We start from the raw sequence: 18,686 nt of genomic DNA, 5'->3' as shown, positions 1-18,686 counted from the left end.
ATGTTTTTGTTGTGTGCACCCCTAAGTATGTCAAAGTACAGCCTGCAACAGGAAAAACAATTTTACCTGGAAGAGTTTGATTATTTTACCTCATGTAAATTAAGGGTGAGCTGGACACGGTGGCTCACACCTGTAATCTTAGCACTTTGGGAGGCCAAGACCAGTCTGGGCAACATGGTGAAACCTCATCTCTAATAAAAATACAAAAAATTAGCCAGGCGTGGTGGCATGTTCCTGTAGTCCCAGCTAGTCCAGAGGCTGAGGCAGGAGAATCTCTTGAACCCGGGAGGCAGAGGTTGCAGTGAGCCAAGATCACACCACTTCACTCTGGCCCTTTTTTTTGGGGGGGTGACAGAACAAGACTGTCGCAAAAAAAAAAAAAAAAAAAAAAAAAGAAAAGAAAAGAAAAGAAAATCATGAAGGGGGAAAAATCAGATATTCTCCACCAGAATTACCTTAACCATTTCCTTATACTTCTCTTTAAGTTCCTGGTAAGCCTTGCTATACTTCATAATGGAGATGAGGGAAAGGGTGCTTTTAAAGTCACTCTTCTTGTTCTCTACAGACCACTTGGCCAACTTGGCCAGCAACTCTTCTCCAAGCCACGTGGGTTTGGGATACACGATTCCATCTGAATGCCATCTTTCTGGACAGAAAATTAAAACAGATATGAACCTTTAAAAATAAGAGAAATATGAATAAGCACAGATATGTTCAATTCTTATTTTAAAATTATCTATTTATTTACCTAATGAAGAAAACAGAAGCTAAGACATCTATATTACCAAAAACATAAAACGAACTAGAACTAGTTACAGAACTTTCATCTAATAGAGAAAAACATGTAAAAAGCACAGAGAATCCCTCTTTTCTTGCAAACTTTGTTAAGGATATATTTACACACTGCGAAGCCCCTGAGGCGGCTGAACAAATAAAGGCCTCTCTCCTGCTGCTTCATGCACAAGGAGCCAGAGTCTAAGCGTCCAAGGATTTTCCTAACATTTCTATTCTTTACCATTTTCACAGGTGCAACTCAAATGAGTATACTGGCTCACCGAATAGCTACTTGCCAGAAGGCGAAGTGCTCAGCCACAGAGATAAAGGCTGCTGTGCATTTTGCCGGCTTATTTTGTCTTTCACATGTCTTCTGCCATCAGAAGGTTCATGACAGTGGGGGGCTTCTGTCTGTCTTGCTCACTGCTCCGCCCCCAGGTCCCAGCAGTGCTGACACATAGCAGGCACTGTTCATGGATGCATTCAATAAATGAGGAAAAGCTCACAATCCTTGGGAGGACTGGCGGGACAGATACAAACCCAGATAACAATACACTGTCCAAGGGCTGCGTTTGGGGCAGCACAGGGAAGGGGAGGGCATTAAGTTTGCTGGGCAGATGAGAGAAAGCTACGATAAAAGTGACATTCAACGGACATTCCTAAGAACAAGCAGATCCCAGCCACTGGGTGAGCGGGGCAGAGCCGGAGGGCCTCACAAGTGTGCTGAGGGCGCGGCAGCAGCATGGCCCCACTGGAGGGGACAATGGCAAGTGGTCCGTCTGGTGAGAGCTGTGGTTTCCAGGTTTTCTGCCACCACGGTGCATTAGAGGGACACAAGTCACTTCCAGAAGATTCTCCAGAGAGTCAACCCCAAAGTGGGTCTGAACCTTTCCCCTGGCCCAGCTCCCTGCTCGGGACTGTGAGGTCTGTCCTGCTCAGTCCAGAAGCGTTCCTGCTGGGCCTGACACTAACTTTGGTGGCCCCTGCGCGCTGCAGAGATTCTGCCCAAGGGGCGTTCCTCGCTCTTCCCTGGGCCTCATGCTCTTCCCCAGGGTCCCCCAGAGGTCCATACGGCCTCCTCCTTCATCCGCCTCTCTTCCATGTCCCTTCTCAGAGGCCTTCCCACATACCTCGGCCACACTCTGCCGTTTCTATTGAGGGGACACAGTCCTGCTTGGCTGAGTTTTCCTCCCTACACCACCTAGTATGGGAGCAGATATTCTCCACTGCCCCAGGAGACTCACTTCCCGCTGCGTGCCAGCCCTAACACATGCTGGGCACACAACAAATGTTGCCGAAAATGAATCCAGCTGCGAAGAAGCACGCACATCGACAGTGGAGCCCCTCATTTGTGTTCAACTCAGAAGGCAGTACATCTGGCCCCTGAAGTGTGACCTGTGCCCAGAGACTGCAAGGAATAGCGGCCCGGTGAGGCTATGACTAGAAATGCCACCCTGGGAAGGTGGGGGCAGCAGCCACGTCCTCAGTAGCTCGTTAAAGAGCAGTGAACGTCACTCCGATGCCGACTAGAAATGCCACCCTGGGAAGATGGGAGCAGCAGCCACGTCCTCAGTAGCTTGTCAAAGAGCAATGAAAGTCACTCCAACGCAGCAGGCACATGCCAAGCACCTCCTGCAACCCCGCCCTGCACCAGGTGCCCACTGCCCCCAAGACAGGCACCACTTTCTGGCTAATGGGCACACAGTTCAGCATCGCCGAGCACAGAGGTGCCTGGCACAGGTAAGCATGGCTTCTCCTAGTGTCTGCTCTCACTCCTCACTCTCCAACAAGGGCATGCTAGCAGGAAGGGACCTCAGGGCAGGATCCCCTGACAACTCGGGGCAACCTCTGGATGGTTCTCAAAGGGCTTCATGCTACAGGGCCTGAGCACCCCTTTCAAGCACGAAGGCTGCAACAGATCCATGTGAGGCCCAGCCCTGCCACCTCCTCAGAGGCTCAGGAATGATTAAACCCATTTCAAGGTGAGTAGACAGAGGGCCAGGAGGTAGAGCACATCCCCAAGACCACACTGCTAGTGGGAAGCCCATGCTCTTCTCGCCACATCCCTCTGCTTTCTAGGAAGCCCCGGGCAAACTCATTCCAGTTACTCAGACATTATCCCCAAGACTGTTTCGGAAAGTACAGCTTGGATGTGGCACTCAGGAAAATATCAGCTGACAAGTCATGAATGAATTCACCCCTCCTCTGACTTTTTCGTTTTAAAAATACCAAACGGTATGAATTAAATTTTATACTTTCTATACAGGCCCAAATACCATATGGAATTAAGGGTGCTTATTAAACCGCTACTTTATAATAAGTATCACTGAATACTTACTACAGAAGGAACCATCACCTATTCCCCATTACTAAGTCATAAAAAATAACAAAATAGGCTGGGCTTGGTGGCTCATGCCTGAAATCTCAGCACTTTGGGAGGCCAAGGCAGGTGGATCACCTGAGGTCAGGAGTTTGATACCAGCCTGGCCAACATGGCGAAACCCCGTCTCTACTGAAAATACAAAAATTAGCCGGGTGTGGTGGTGGGTGCCTGTACTGTGCAGACTGAGGCACGAGAATCACTTAAATGCAGGAGGTAGAGGTTGCAGTGAAATGCGATGGCACCAATGCACTCCAGCCTGGGCAACAGTGTAAGACTGTCTCAATAATAATAATAACAATAACAATAAAGAAATTTGAGTTTGACTTCAGAGCTAATGCTAAGGGCTGCTGATCATCACAGCCACAGGGAAGGTAGAGATCAGAAACCCCAGCCAGGCTGTGACCACCCAGACTCGAGGCCAGGCACCAACAGGAAGAGCAACATGGCCTGGGCACATAAGCTAGCAACTGCATTCCTACAAACCATAACCACCTCAGAGACAGGACCTTAAGCCCTGGCAACCCAGAATCCTTTGGCTACCTAAAGAAATCCTCAATGGAAACCATAAAACTAGGAGTCCACTGTCCAGCTCTTACCATTCTTCTTTGCTATGACTGAGCTGAATTTGATACACATTGCTCATCTTAACCTTTAGGTTCCCCTCATCATCTTCTTCCAAAGGCAAAAACGTTATGGTTCCATTGAGGACATCTGGAAAGAAAAAGAGAAGAAGGACAAATTACAACTGCCTAGCTACCGTCTCATCAGAAGCAGTATTAAAAATAGGGATGAGTCAAGCACGATGCTTTCAATCCCCCAGCACTCTATTCACAATGGCACTCCAGGAGAGGAACTTTTGCCTTTCATTCACTGCTACAGCCCACAGCCTAGAATGTGCCAGGCATACAGCAGCCATTCTCTGCAAGTATCTGTTGAGAGATGCATGAGCCAGGACCTGAGGGAAGAGCCAGCCAATGTGGACTCTATTGGAACTTGAGAGCTACAATCAGAGAAAACAGGGGACCTCTGCCCTAACTGAGTGTCTGCCACAGCCTGACCATGATCTTCGAGTGTGAGCAAGGCACAGAACACTGCTCAGCCATCAGAGGCCAGTTCAGGAAAGCGGATATCAGTCCAGGCCTTCCTAACAACCGCTTTATGTTGTGTGGAGCCCTTGCTGCATGTACGGACTTCACAGTCACCTTCCCATTAAAATATAAGCAGAGTGGCATATTCCTAAGCTAAATTTACAGCATTCTGTCAGTTTGTGTGGATACTTAAGGTTTGGTTGTATAAAGTTCTATCTCTAAAATCAATCGTGTTTACCTTTGATATTAAAAAAAAATTGCAAACTCTGTTAAAGAGGAATATACACTTCACAGGCCAAATATGCACAACTGTGGTTCACCTTCCACAGCAGATGAAAGAACAAGACCTGCCAAAAGGAAGCAGAGGCTGAAGGGGCTAAGTGGATTCAGATGGAAAGCAAGCAGTGTGGGGCCGAGAAAACTCTAACAATCAGAGTCTACTGCTATGGAATACAGGGTGGCCAGGGAAGTCCTCCCTAGTTAGGTGACATTTGAGCAGAGAGCCGAAGGAGGTCAGGGAGTGTGCCATGGGGCACCTGGAAGAAGAGTGTTTCAGACACAGGAGCAGCAATTGCAAAGGCCCTAGGGCAGGCGTGTGCTCAGGTGCATGGGGAATGGAGGTGAGTGGCGTGGACAAGGTGACAAGTGGTAGAAGGTGAAATCAAAGGGTAACAGGGCCCACCCAGGTCACATAGGGCCTTGCAGTTCATAGAAGTACAGCTTTTACTGTGAGTGAGACCAGAGAGAAGAGGACTGACACAATGCATCATTCTTTCCATGAATTATCTCATTTAAAAACTGCAACAGGACCAGGCGTGATGGCCCATGCCTGTTGTCCCAGCACTTTGGAAGGCCAAGGTGCGAGGCTCACTTGAAACCAGGAGTTAGAGACCAGACTAAGAAACATAGTAAGACCCTATTTATACAAAAAATAAATAAAGTAAAATAAAGCTCACAACTTTATCATCCAGTATTATTTTCACCATCCTCTGGATCAGGGTTTCTTAGCCTCAGTGTCACTGGCATGTGTGGCTGGATAACTCCTTATTGTTGGGAGTTGTCCCGTGCACTGTAGCATGTTTATAAGAAGCCCTGGCCCCTACCCACTAGATGCCAGCAGCATCCTCTCCCTCCCTGCCCAGTGTGGCAACCCCAAATCTGCTGTCACTGTTGTCGCTACACAATGATAAATTTCGATTTTTAAAATTTTTAAATTTTTCATTTTTGTGGGTACATAGCAGGTATATATATTTACAGGGTACATGAAATGTTTTGATCCAGGCATGCAATGTGAACTAATCACATCATGGAGAATGGGGCATCCATCCCCTCAAACATTTATCCTTTGTGTTACAAACAATCCAATTACACTCTTTTCGTTATTTAAAAATGTACAATAGTGGCCGGGAGAGGTGGCTCACGCCCGTAACCCCGGCACTTTGGGAGGCCAAGGCAGGCGGATCACGTGAGGTCAGGAGTAGGAGACCAGTCTGGCCAACATGGTGAAACCCCATCTCTACGAAAAATACAAAAATTAGCTGGGCGTCGTGGCACATGCCTGTAATCCCAGCTGCTTGGGAGGCTAAGTTAGGAGAATCGCTCGAACCCAGGAGGCGGAGGTTGCAGTGAGCTGAAATCACACCACTGCACTCTAGCCTGGGCCACAGAGCGAGACTACTCTCAAAAAAAAAAAAAAAGTACAATTAAGTTATTATTCATTATAATCCCCCTGTTAGACTATCATATACTAGGTGTTATTCATATTCTATTTTTTTTGTACACTTTAACCATCCCACCTCTCCCCCAACCCTCCACTCCCCTTCCCACCCTCTGGTAACCATCCTTCCACTCTCTATGTCCACGAGTTCCATTGTTTTGATTTTTAAACCCCATAAATAAGTGAGAACATGTGATGTTTGAATGACAAACTTCTGAGGATCAAAACTGCCCCGACTGAAACCTCTGTTCTAGATGAGAAAACCAGGCGTTCAACAGATTAAGTAATCTGTCTCAAATCCACATAGCCTCAAACTGAATTCTGTTCTTTAACTAAAGAAGTCAAGTTCTTAACCACTATGTCATCCTGTCACCTGCTACTAACAGTTAAGATTTCTTAGTCACATTCCTTTTTTTTTTTTTTAGACTGAGTCCCCGTCTGCTGCCCAGGCTGGAATGCAGTGGCACAATCTTGGTTCACTGCAACCTCCACTCACCGGGTTCACGTCATTCTTCTGCCTCAGTCTCCTGAGTAGCTGGGATTACAGGCACCTGCCACTACGCCTGGCTAATTTTTTGTATTTTTAGTAGAGACGGGGTTTCACCATGTTGGCCAGGCTGGTCTCGAACAGTCACATTACTCTTAAGACCTTCGTGATCTTACCCAGAATAGGGCCAAGAAATATACAAAAGTTGCAAGAGCATCTCCACTTCACACAAACAGCAGCTAGCATTTATTAGGCACTTACCATGTGCCAGGAACTATTCTAAGCACTTTACAATGTATTAATTCCATTTAACTCTTCCAGCAACTCCAAGATATTTTATTATTATCCTATTTTACAAATGAAGACACTGAGGCACAGAGAGGCTCTATAACCTGCCCACAGCCATACAGCTTGTAATTGGCAAGACCAAAATTCAAAGCCAGGCTGTCTATATTCCATGGAGGATACAAGTCCTCTGGTGAGCCTTCCTGGCGGGAACTGAATATAGAAAGCAATCCTGAAAACGTACTCCTTGTTGAGAGGGAAAACTGCCTCCCTGAGAGGAAGAAAGGAAAAAATTCTGTCCTACCCCTCTGTTCAGCGAAGTCTACACATGAAGGCCTCACGGGCACTGCCTCTCCAATCCTCAGTCCAGTGGATGGACAACGTAAAATGGTTAAGATTAGAACACAGTTGATAAGAGCTGGAAGAACTCCTAAACTAGACTGGACTGGCAGAGAGGCCCCCTGGAGGAGAGGACACCTAGAGTCTTACAAAGGCACAGAGGCAGACAGTATTGGGAGCCATCAGAGGGGACTATGTACCTCCCAGCAATTGCTGCCTGAGGTAGGCAGAAGAGCCTCCCAAAAGTGTCCATGCCGTAATACCCAGGACTCGTGAATATACTGTATTATATGGCAAAAGGGGCACTTGCAAACATGATTATGGTTACAGACCTCAAGAGGAAGAGTACTCTGGATTATCCAGGTGAGCCCGGCCTAACTCCATGGGCCACGAAGAGCAGAGAATTTTCTCTGGCTGGAGGCGGAGGAGAGAAGCAGCAGGAGAGGAAGGCAGAGAGATTCCAAGTATGAGAAGAATTCAACCCCATTGCTGGCTCTGAGATGTAGGAAGCTGCATGAAAGAACCAGAAAGAAGCCTCCAGCAACTGACAGCCAGCAAGGGAACAAGGACCCCAGTCCTACATAAAAAATTGGATTCTACCAACGAACTGAATGAGCCTGAGAACAGATTCCTTCCCAGAACCTCCAAATAAGAGCCCAGCCGGCAGGCTGTTTGATTTTGGCCTCGTGAGAGAGACCCACAGCGGAGAAACCAGCAGAGCCAATGGGGATTCCTAACCTACAGAACTGAGACAATCAATTTTTTGTACTGACCAATGAATTTGCAGTAATTTGTTACAGTGGCAATACGAAACACATGCTGCTGAATAAAGTTTCAGGTAAGAGTGGCTGAGGCTGAAGTGTCAAGGTCACGGGCAGTAAAAATAAATGCCAGAGATTTAACGAACGCTGAGGACTAGTAGGTTCCCATCCATCCAGTCTCTATGCTCTTTCACAGTTATTTGTCTCAGCATAAATAGCTCTCTTTATGTTGGGGAAAAGGCTTATGGCATGCCTGTATAAACTGGCCATAAAAATATGAGACAATAAGTTGTGGAAAGCCACAAGAGGCCTCTGAGGAGGAAAGCCTTCTTATTGTCATGATGTTCCCATGCTCTGGGCGAGACCTACTGTCTTACCTATAAACACTGTGTTCAAGGAGAAAGACACTCCTTTGAATCACTACAATGTGGTCAGACATGCAGGCTCCTAGTTAAGCACGCTCCCACTGGTTATTCTCCGACAAGTTAAAGATAACGCTGTTTGAGCACAAAGGAGATTCATTTAAACCGCCACTGCTATAGATGACATGTATGATGCACTGTCTCCCTTTCACCCTTTCGCCCCGAACGTCCGCTTCTTAGATCTAAGTGATTGTACTCAATAGTGTGGAGACCAGAGCTCCCAGGCTTTGGCAGCCTCCATTTTGCAATTGGCCCCCTGGCCCCCAATCTTTATGCACTCTTAACCTGTCTCGTCTCATTCCTTCGTCGCCACCGGACTTTGAGTACCCTACGGGTGGTGTTGAGGCTGGTCCCCAACACTTTTACACCTACAGCTTTACCTGCTAAACTCCTAGGTATTACGCAATATCCAGCTAGTCCTTCACTGTCTCTTTGAAGCCTTCCAGACACCACCCCAATCAATTATCCCATCTTCTGTACTAAGGACACACATTTCTATGCGCCCACTCAAAAAACTATGAAACACCTAACAACCTCCCTAGGACATCGCAGAGGAACTAGTACCCTTAGGACTTTTTCATTGACCCGAGGTTCTATGAATGCTTTTTTATCTAATCATATCCGTCCACTATCAAAACACTCTTACCTTGCACGACTATTTCCCTCCTGGGAGTTGTAAGGGGGCAATGTGGGCTAGTTTTCGGGATGACGGTTCTGAGAACCACGTCGAGCTCACGCTGCGCCTCTGGCTGCGATCCCGCCCCGGAGCTGGTGAGGAAGGCCAGCAACTCCGAATTGCCACGGGCGAGACTTTGGGAGAAATCCTCCCAAAGCGAATCCAGATCTGCGGCGGGGAAGTCGCCCTCCCTTCCTTCAGCATGGCCGGGGTGCCCGGAGTCCCTCAGGGGCACTGAGGCGGCTTCCCTCTGTGCCTCCTCTTGCTGGCACTGGCCCTGGGCCTCCTCAAGTTCGCAACATGCCGTGCCCTGCTCGGGTCCTGATAGCGACCTGGGACCCGGGCCCCCTCCGGGGGAACCCTGGCCGGGTCCCGGACCCCGCTCCTTCTGCTCCGAGCCTGCGCTAGTCCCGGGGCCGCGGGCCTCCGCGCAGGGCAGGGCGGCGCTCCAGCGGGCCTCCAGGCGGGCGCCGCAAAGCCGTTTGTTTGCCACCTGCGGCCTCTCCAGCCACACTTCGACCGCAGCCCAGAAGCCCTGTGGGAGAAGCGCGCCTGGGTAGCTGATCCCGGTACGGCCCACCTCAGCCATGGCAGCCAGCAGGTGTACAGCCCTGGCAGCGGCGCGCCGAGATGACGCAGCCCGGTGGCGCGGCGCGTTGACGTCATGGAGGCGGGGTGCTGGGACCGGAAATGAGAATGGCGCCGCTGGAGATCCTTTCCTGCTTTTGGTTTCCCTGGCAGGGGTTGAACTGTGGAGTGTGTGGGTGAGGAATTTGACCTGTGTTTTATTCCCTTTTGAGAGAATTCTGGGCGTGGTATAGTTACAGAATCAAACATCAGCCAGCCAGCGGGTGTGGAACGCATTGTCCTCAGTACTGATTACCGATAAAAGTCAGGGAGCCTAAGTTTGTGAACGTAAAAGATGAGTCCTCTTATGAAAGCTAACTTTTCTCCACTTGGGTTCTGGTTTGCTTTTAGTGCTGGCATTACAGCCAGTGCCTTCCTAAGTCTGAGTGCAGCCATGGCTGTTTCATAAGAATGATGTAACGTTGTCCCATGAGGGATGAAAGTCATCTGTCACCTACTGTAGCAGGACAAGCCACAGACAAAACTCCTCAGACACCGGATTAAAGAAGAAAGAGGTTTATTCGGCCGGGAGCATCGGCAGACTTGCGTCTTAAGAGCTGAGCTCCCCAAAAAAGAAATTCTTGGCCTGTTTAAAGGCTTACGACTTTAAGGGTCCACGTGAAAGGGTCGTGATAAATTGAGCAAGCATGGGAAACGTGACTGGGGGCTACATGAATCAGCTAACAGAACAGAAAGTTTTGCAATGCTTTTTTCATACAATGTCTGGAATTTACAGATAACACAAGTAGTTTAGGTCGGGGGTTGATGTTATTATTATTATTTTTTTTAACTCCTAGGGCCACGTGGTGGTGCCAAGGTTGTCTGGCTATTTATCTGACTTTTGTTTCTTTCTAACTTTTTGCTTTCTCTCTTTTCCTCCTGTCTTATGAACTAGGCAAGGTGGCAGGGAGGAGGGCAGCAGGAGTAGTAGTGGTCTCCTTATCCCTTCCTTTGAGAATTTTCACAAATTAGTGGGAGTTCTCGCTTTTATTTTTACTTTGAGTCTCTTTGGGAGACAGAGTGATAGTGTTTTATGTAATACACTTGCAGTGAGGGTTTTAAATTCTCTTATAGCTGGAAACTATCTTTTAAATAAAGACCTAGGATCAAACCTGTGTTAAACCAGTACAGGCACATGTGCCAACTTTGTCATGTCCTAAGCAGGTTAGTTTTTTTACTGGGTCTTAAAAGCTTTTTTCCTAGCAAGCAACACAGTATTTCTTAATAATAGGAGTTTTTAAGAGCCAAATGCTTGAACTTGGCATCTGCTTGGGGAAAGAGTTAAAGTAATCTTGAGGCATTAAATCTTTTGCTTCTCAAGGCCATTGGTCTCTCATGTTAGCCTTTTTATAAACATAACATGAAGAAACGTCTAGGCTGCTGGCAATGTTTTCAGCCAGCTGAGCAAATAGGTTGTTTGTTTGTTTTGCTAAAGGAGGAGGCTCTTGTAACTTCTGGTTTATGTGTTTAAAGAATGACTTAAAGACTCGGAATTGTTGCTGGGCTGGACGGGTCTGGGTTTCCTGACTAAGTAGTATGTGTACAATGGGGACACCTTATATAGGTGTTTCTTCTAGCATGGTTATGGGGGGTAACAATAACAAAACAATATACAGCATATTTGTATCCAGCAAGGACAAAAGAGGTCCTTACCTGGGAAAAAGATTGAATACAGTGACAGAACAATAGGAAAACAGTATTACAGGAAAACTATTAGTCTTAAGATTTTTAACTACGTTTACTTGCTTGACAAGTCCTCAAGCTTCGGCCATGCGTAGACTATTCAGCTGCCAGTGCGTGACTAGAGCCGGGCTTGTTGTTTCTTCAAGCTTCAGCCGTGTGTAGACTGGTCAGCCTCCGGAGTGACCAGAGCAGGGCTGTCGTCCTCAGCAACAGCTTGGTCTCGTCTCCGAATCAGCCGGGTAGGAAGATCTGTGTCCTGCTGGCTGGTCTACTTGTCCTGAGCTGCCAGTGTTAGCTGACTGTGATGGATCTAAGACACAACACCTGCAACTTTTAACAGCAGTGGGAGTGGAAAAGATTACAGTATAAGGCCCATCCTATATGGGTCCTAGAAAAATTAGATTTTACTTTTTAACTTAAACAGAGTCACTAGATTTAAAGGGGTGTCAGGCTTATAGGCATTTTTATGTATTTAATTATAAACACTTTGTATGGCTATTTCTAAAATCTGCATTTGCTTTCTTAAGGTTAATTCCTTTAGTTCTTGGAGGTCACCTTTAATTTGACCTGTGATTTGGGGGTGGCCGACCGAACAAAATCTTATAGGGTAAATACCTAGTTTGTTTGGTGAGGGTGCAGCTGACTTGAAGGAGGACCATAGGCAAAAGCCTGATTTTATCTTAAATGAATTTCCTGGCAATATTTTTTTCAGTAGCTGCTCGAGTGTCCAGTTCATGCACTCCACTTTTTCTTGAACTTTGCAGCCAATAGGCTGTGTGTAACTTCCATTTTATTTTTAACAGTCTTGTTAAATCCTGCCCTATTTCAGCTACAAATGCTGGCCTATTGTCTGACTTTAAAGTTAGAGGCAGTCTAAACCTGGGGATAATGTCTTTTAACAATACTTTAGTCACTTCTTGTACTTTTTCTGTCCTGGTGGGGAAAACTTTAACTTACCCTGGAAAGGTGCAAACAAGCACTAGCATGTACCGATAGCCTCCAGCATGAGGCAGTTCTGTAAAGTCTATAAGCAAGTTTTCACAAGGTATGGCTCTTTTTCCTGTTTAAGTTTCTTAGAGGAGGGGTTCTTTTTCTTTCCCCCCTTTGTAACTCTATCTAGTGGCTTAGCCATCAGTGAGAAATTGGAATCCAGATATGGCAGAATCCTGCTGCTTTTAACTTCTAATGTGACAATGGGCTCCTGGGAGCCTAATAAGAAGGTGCCTAGTCTGCCCTAGTCTTTACATTCTTTAGCTCCTGCCAGCCTGATCAGATCAGTATTTGGTTCCTCCAAGGTGCGGCAGCCCTTGGCCAATGGCCTCTTTGTCTTGCAGCCTTGGCCATTTCTTTTATTGCCTTCTGAACATTCACCCTTCTAGTGTCCTTTCTTTTTTCATCTCACACATTAATGTCTCTCTAGCCTTGGCCGGCTCTCGAATCCTTGCCTAACTTGACTTCTTCCACGTCTACATCCGTGTCCACGTCCTCTCGCATTGCTAATCTCTCTTTTTATAAGAGCTGTTGCTAACAGATTGGCCTTTTTCCTTAAGTCTTTGTTTTTCTTTTTCCTTCCTGAGTTCTCCTGCTTCTATGGCCACCTGGCGGGGCCAGGCAGTGGCACAGGCCCTGCCCCCGCGCACTGCTGTCTCTCCCATTTTCTTCTGATTCTCTTTTTTACACTTACTGTGAGTCTTTCTTTTTGTTTTGCTCTTCTCTTGGCACCGGTCTCTAGCCTCCTCTTTTTTTCTAGATAGAGCTGAGCCGGGGAGAGGAATTTAACCCTTGGCGTGCCTAGCTGCCGCACTTGTTGCTTTTGCTCTTTCCTGTTTTGTTCCTTGGTCACAGCTAACATACGCCTTGGTGGCCACTTTTATAGACTGGGTGATATTCATGCCTGTAGCTTCTGCTTGATGTTACCCTGGGCTTGCTTTACAAACGAAGTATTCACTATATATATATTTATATATATATTTACATATATTTTTTTACATATATATGTAAATATATATATTTACGTGTATATATTTCTATATATTTACATATATTTGTATATATATATTTATATATATTTTTTCGAATATATATATATGCTGATTTTTTTTTTTTTTTTGAGATGGAGTCTCGCTCTGTTGCCAAGGCTGGAGTGCAGTGGTGTGATCTCGGCTCACTGCAAACTCCACCTCCCAGGTTCACACAATTCTCCTGCCTCAGCCTCCCGAGTAGCTGGGACTACAGCTACCCGCCACCACGCCCAGCTAATTTTTTTGTGTTTTTTTTTTTTTAGTAGAGACAGGGTTTCACCATGTTAGCCAGGATGGTCTCGATCTCCTGACCTCTTGATCTGCCCACCTCGGCCTTCCAAAGGGCTGGGATTATAGGCGTGAGCCACCAGCCTCAGGGTTAAATAGGATGTAAAGCCAGAATGCTTTACAGAGTCTCTTATAAAACTGACTTAGGCTCTTGTCAGCTCCTTGAAGCACTTCTGAAATCTTTTTTATATTAATTGCTTTTTTTCTACTACCTCTTAGCCTCTGCAGAAGTGCCTCTTAGTACTGCTGCAAATGCTGAAGCTGAGTTGCATTCTCTGGGTCTTTTTTCCCCTTTTTCCTAGATCTTAACAGGCCCTTTTTTAAATATAATTCTCCATGCAGTTGGAGGGTTAAACAGGCATACTGAGAGTCAGTGTAAATGTTTAGTCTTACCTTCACTGAGTTCTAAGGCCTGAATTAAAGCAATGAGCTCAGCTTAACGACAGTGTCCAGGGTTATCACTGCATATCCTGCACATCTCTCTCCTTGTGGGTTGATGAAGCTGCTCCCGTCCATGTATAGCTCCCAGTCTACTGATGCCCAAGGCTGGTCTCGGAGGTCAGGTCTGCTAGAGTAAACTTGAGTCCAACACCTCTACACAGTTAATGCTCGACAGGGCTCTAGCTGCTGGGAACAAGGTGGCGGGTTCAGGGTGTTTCCAGTTTAGTAGATCAATGGTTAAAAAGGGCTGATAGATGAAAGTCTGTTGCCCCACCCCCTGGATGTGGGCTTGGTCATTATAATAGACAGGTCCTCGTGTCTCCCTGAGAGGCATTTGCATAGCTCCAGCAAGACCAGATCTGAGAGGGCCCACTTGACTATCTTGACTTCCTTCCTTGGCCTCTTGAGGCTCCGATCTTCCCCTTCAAGGTGAGACCTGGGGCATGTTAGCTCCTTAATCTCGTTTCTCAGGGGGCTGTTGGCCTCGGTAAAGGGGGGTAGGCTGGGCCATATGGAGAAAGAATTTCTGTTATCTCTGGCGGCTCCTGCAAAACTGGCTTCTCTTGCTCTTTCTGGGACTCCCCTTTTCAACTCTGTGTCTGCTGGTGCAGCTGTTCTTACTTTCACTTTTGGCTTTTTTGCAATAAGCTGTTAAACAGGGCTAAATTTATGCTGGTTTTTGTCTATATTATATTTAACCATGAATCAATATAAAGGAATTGATCTAGGTCCACTGGCTGTCCTCCAACCCCTGTCACCACCTTAAATACATGGCCAATTGTTCCCTGTCTGTAGTTCCTTCGGTGGGCCATCCAACACCAAAAGAGGGCAATTCTTTTTTTTTTTTCTTTTTTTTGAGACGGAGTCTCGCTCTGTTGCCCAGGCTGGAGTGCAGTGGCACAATCTCCACTCACTGCAAGCTCCGCCTGCCAGGTTCATGCAATTCTCCTGCCTCAGCCTCTTGAGTAGCTGGGACTACAGGTGCCCGCCAGCACGCCTGGCTAATTTTTTGTTTTTGTATTTTTAGTAGAGATGGGGTTTCACCCTATTAGTCAGGATGGTCTCAATCTCCTGACCTCGTGATCTGCCCGCCTCGGCCTCCCAAAGTGCTGGGATTATAGGCGTGAGCCACCGCGCCCAGCAAAAGAGGGCAATTCTAATTCACATAGAGTTCTTAACCTCTGGGGGCTTAACCTCTGTAATCCCCTGCAAAACCTTTCTTAAGGTTCTGTAACATGCATTTTAATAGAGTAAGTTTTGATGATTAGATGACTTTCCTTTTATTTTTCTTCTTGAAATTTTTTTTTAACACAGTTTCTAGCGGAGTGGGCTTACTTTGTGTTTGACCTATTTTTCTCTTGAGACAAAACAACATTCACACTACAAGAAGGAAAGGGTAAAAGGTTACTCACTCGTCTAATTCACACTAAAGGAAAATCAAAACTAAAACCAAAGTGTCATTAAAGGCACACCTGTTTGTCAAGGAATTTAAGCCAAGTCAAAATCAGAACCAAAGCCAAAGTGCCAATAAAGGCACGCCTGTTTATCAAGTAATTCAAGTCAAGTCAAAAACAAAAACCAAAGTATCAAGCATTTCAAGTCAAGTCAAAAACAAAAACCAAAGTGCCGGTACAGGCACGCCATGGGTGATCAGGCCACGCTTCCACTCAAATGGAGTGTGCAAGTTCCAAAGACCAGTCTTACCAAGTTTCAAATGTCCAGACTTAAAGTGCTAGTTCCTTCCCAGTGTTCAGCCACTGCGTTGATCCTCCACGGGGGCTTGCCATGCACCACTCTGACGAGGCATTCCACGGGGGCAAATGCCTACCCGGGAGCACTCTCAGGATCTGCATCGCGCAAGCTGGCTGGAGCCCCCCACAGGGATGCTCTACAGGGCAGGCATAAGCTGCCTAAGGGGCTGGCTTGAACGTCCCTTAATCACCTCGCTTCTCAGTCAGGGAACCAAGAAATGTAGCAGGACGAGCTGCAGACAAAACTCCTCAGACACCGGATTAAAGAAGAAAGAGGTTTATTCGGCCGGAAGCACTGGCAGACTTGTGGCTTAAGAGCGGAGCCCCCCGAAAAAGAAATTCTTGGCCTGTTTAAAGGCTTACAACTTTAAGGGGTCCATGTGAAAGGGTCGTGATAAATCGAGCAAGTGTGGGAAACGTGACTGGGGGCTACATGGATCAGCTAACAGAACAGAAAGTTTTGCAATGCTTTTTCATACAATGTCTGGAATTTAAAGATAACACAAGTAGTTTAGGTCAGGGGTTGATGTTATTATTATTATTATTATTATTTTAACTCCTAGGGCCACGTGGTGGTGCCAAGGTTGTCTGGCTATTTATCTTACTTTTGTTTCTTTCTAACTTTTTGCTTTCTCTCTTTCCTCCTGTCTTATGAACTAGGCAAGTTTGGGGGTAGGAGGGCAGCAGTAGTAGTGGTCTCCTTCCTTACTACATGTCCCCAGGAGGAACAGAGAAGGTTGGATACTGCCAATTTAGCCCAACATTATCAGCAGCTGGTCTGCAGAATCTCTAGTAAAATCCAAAAACCTCCAATATTCTTAATTACTTTTGTACATTAATCCCTCCATTGGGATTTTGCCATTCCCTAAAGGATCTCTGTCGGAGTAAGAAAAGTGAAAACTAACTCAAATCATGTGATTTATTAGAGATAAAAGCACAGACCAAATGTTGGTAGAATTAAGTAAAAGGCAAATGAGACGTATCCTCCCAGACACACTGGCTCACCCTAGCCCATTCAGTGTTTGATCACATACAGTAATTGATTTTTATGCTATCTTAGTTTTCCAGGGCTTCCATAACAAATTACCGTAAGTTTGGTGGCTTAAAACAACACGCATTTATTCTCTCATAGTTCTAAAGGCTCTGAGAATCCATTCATCTCTCCTAGTTTGTAGTGGTTGCCAGCAATCATTGGCATTCCTTGACCTGTGCCTCCAGCACTTCAATCTCTGCCTCCGTGGTTACGTGGTGTTCTTGTTTCTCCAGATCTCTTTTCTTCTTCTAATAAGGGCAACATTCATATTGGATTAGGGCCAACCCTAATCCAGTATAATCTCATAGTGAATAACTGCTGAATGAAACAGTCACTGAGATTAGGGAGCGTGTCAGGAGAATGGTGCAGATGGCAGAACTATCTCAGACTGTTTCCCTTTGGGGAAGCAGGCCCCAGCCAGAGGCTGCTGGGTCCAGGGAGCAGGGAGAAAGCTGGAGATATCCAGGCTTAGGTCAAGGATCTGACCCACTGCCTGGGGCTGGAAATAGTGTCTACATAGCACTGTCCTGTAGGACTTTCTGTGATAATGGCAATGTTCTATGTCTGCACTGTCCAATACCGTAGTTACTTTTGGCTACTGACCCACACTTGAGTGCAGCTAGTGCAACTAGGGAACTGATTTAAATTAGATTTATGGGAAATTGAATGTATTTAACTGCTGCACATTTAAGTAGCCACATGAGGCTAGGGGCTACTGTTGAACAATGCAGCACTAGAGACACTCACCTGGGACCCTTAAAGCCCCTCCATTCTGAGTTGTCAGCGTCTAAGTGCTGGAAGCTGGGTGGAACTCGAGAAGCAGCAGTGGAGGCTCCAACCGGAAGTCCCTGGCTGCTCTGAGCGCCCTGAGTGGCAGCCCTGTTGTGCTGATCAGAATGATGGCTCCAGCCACTTCACAGCAGCCCCCATTACCTTCCAGGGCCTCAGCCAGAAACTCATCTGATGCCAAGACCTTAACAGCATAGAAACCCGTTAAATTCAATATGTTGGGTTTATAATTAAAAAAAAAAATCAGGCCGGGCGCGGTGGCTCACGCCTGTAATCCCAGCACATTGGGAGGCCGAGGTGGGTGGATCACAAGGTCAGGAGATCGAGACTATCCTGGCTAACACAGTGAAAACCTGTCTCTACTAAAAATACAAAAAATTAGCCGGGCGTGGTGGTGGGCGCCTGTAGTCCCAGCTACTCGGGAGGCTAAGGCAGGAGAATGGCTTGAACCCGGGAGGCAGAGCTTGCAGTGAGCCGAGATGGCACCACTGCACTCCAGTCTGGGCAACAGAGCGAGACTCCATCTCGAAAAAAAAAATTCATTGGCTCAAGCCAGTAACATTTGCCATAGGGACAGCCATTTGTTTGTGCATCTTGTACAAAACCACATTTATGTTCCACAACTCTTTCCCAACACCGTTTTCAGCTGCCTACCACTTAATGTGATGTGACTAGGGGAAGTGAGGTGGCTGCTGGGTGGTGGTGACGACTGTGGCTGAGCTGTGATGGATCATTCTTGGTGCCGAATCATCAGAACCCATTCCCTTCCCAAGGACCTGGTGACTTCTTCCAGCCACTCTTCTGGGAATGCAGAACCAGCCAAGGAGGTGGTGGTGGGAAAGACAGAAGGGATAAATGGAGACAAATGACCGGAGGGTGGGAGGCAACTTTAGCTTTAACAATGTGTGCACATAACAACAATGGCCAATGACAGTCAATAGCACCAAGGTCTAAAACTGAGCAGGGAATCGGTGTGCCGAAGGGAGCAGAAGTGGGACAGAAGTCAAGATAAACAAGAGAGGGGGTGGGTGAGGCCCTATGGCAGTGCTCCCGTGGGTCATTGTCCACTGAGTTACTGATGACACTCACCCCACCCCTACTGTTCACACTAGGGGTCCACG

At 46.7% G+C, this 18,686-nt stretch overlaps 2 protein-coding genes across 26 annotated transcripts in view, besides 7 other annotated features; one reads left to right on the top strand and one right to left on the bottom strand.

The window, feature by feature from the left end:
- TRMT44 (tRNA methyltransferase 44 homolog) overlaps nt 1-9,567 on the bottom strand; it is a 76,174-nt gene extending 66,607 nt beyond the window's left edge. For 13 of the 16 annotated variants that reach the window (XM_047449685.1, XM_047449681.1, XM_047449679.1 and 10 more), the window contains exons 1-3: nt 8,903-9,567; nt 3,754-3,868; nt 456-675 (exon numbers count right to left, since the gene is read on the bottom strand). In XM_047449685.1, coding sequence (XP_047305641.1) covers nt 456-675; nt 3,754-3,868; nt 8,903-9,521 — 954 coding nt within the window. In that variant the 5' untranslated portion in view covers nt 9,522-9,567. Of the gene's footprint in view, nt 1-455; nt 676-3,753; nt 3,869-7,405; nt 7,584-8,902 lie in introns of all 16 variants that reach the window. The other 3 variants (XM_011513408.2, XM_011513409.4, NM_001350233.2) reach the window with 3 other exon arrangements.
- Nucleotides 8,942-9,675: an enhancer, noted in NCBI's record as "H3K27ac hESC enhancer chr4:8442396-8443129 (GRCh37/hg19 assembly coordinates)". NCBI's record gives its function as "activates a minimal SCP1, AML or CMV promoter by ChIP-STARR-seq in naive H9 embryonic stem cells {active_cell/tissue: H9 hESC(naive)}" and the evidence as "EXISTENCE:reporter gene assay evidence [ECO:0000049][PMID:30033119]".
- Nucleotides 8,942-9,733: a biological region, named in NCBI's record as "H3K27ac hESC enhancer GRCh37_chr4:8442396-8443129".
- Nucleotides 9,154-9,213: a silencer, noted in NCBI's record as "silent region_15265". NCBI's record gives its function as "represses an Ori minimal core promoter by ATAC-STARR-seq in GM12878 lymphoblastoid cells {active_cell/tissue: GM12878}" and the evidence as "EXISTENCE:reporter gene assay evidence [ECO:0000049][PMID:35858748]".
- Nucleotides 9,264-9,473: a silencer, noted in NCBI's record as "silent region_15264". NCBI's record gives its function as "represses an Ori minimal core promoter by ATAC-STARR-seq in GM12878 lymphoblastoid cells {active_cell/tissue: GM12878}" and the evidence as "EXISTENCE:reporter gene assay evidence [ECO:0000049][PMID:35858748]".
- Nucleotides 9,494-9,733: an enhancer, noted in NCBI's record as "active region_21295". NCBI's record gives its function as "activates an Ori minimal core promoter by ATAC-STARR-seq in GM12878 lymphoblastoid cells {active_cell/tissue: GM12878}" and the evidence as "EXISTENCE:reporter gene assay evidence [ECO:0000049][PMID:35858748]".
- The window catches only part of ACOX3 (acyl-CoA oxidase 3, pristanoyl), an 85,419-nt gene continuing 76,353 nt past the window's right edge, over nt 9,621-18,686 (top strand). For 9 of the 10 annotated variants that reach the window (XR_007057969.1, NM_001375784.1, XM_047416231.1 and 6 more), the window contains exon 1: nt 9,621-9,696. The gene's annotated coding sequence lies outside the window, so the exon portion shown is untranslated. Of the gene's footprint in view, nt 9,697-14,376; nt 14,422-18,686 lie in introns of those variants that run through there. The other variant, XM_011513565.3, reaches the window with a different exon arrangement.
- Nucleotides 14,038-14,217: an enhancer, noted in NCBI's record as "active region_21294". NCBI's record gives its function as "activates an Ori minimal core promoter by ATAC-STARR-seq in GM12878 lymphoblastoid cells {active_cell/tissue: GM12878}" and the evidence as "EXISTENCE:reporter gene assay evidence [ECO:0000049][PMID:35858748]".
- Nucleotides 14,518-14,857: an enhancer, noted in NCBI's record as "active region_21293". NCBI's record gives its function as "activates an Ori minimal core promoter by ATAC-STARR-seq in GM12878 lymphoblastoid cells {active_cell/tissue: GM12878}" and the evidence as "EXISTENCE:reporter gene assay evidence [ECO:0000049][PMID:35858748]".

This window comes from Homo sapiens, chromosome 4, assembly GCF_000001405.40.
Source record: "Homo sapiens chromosome 4, GRCh38.p14 Primary Assembly".
Lineage (NCBI taxonomy): Eukaryota > Metazoa > Chordata > Mammalia > Primates > Hominidae > Homo > Homo sapiens.
Note: the sequence above shows the minus strand (reverse complement) of the source record. Positions and strands in the feature narration are given on the sequence as shown.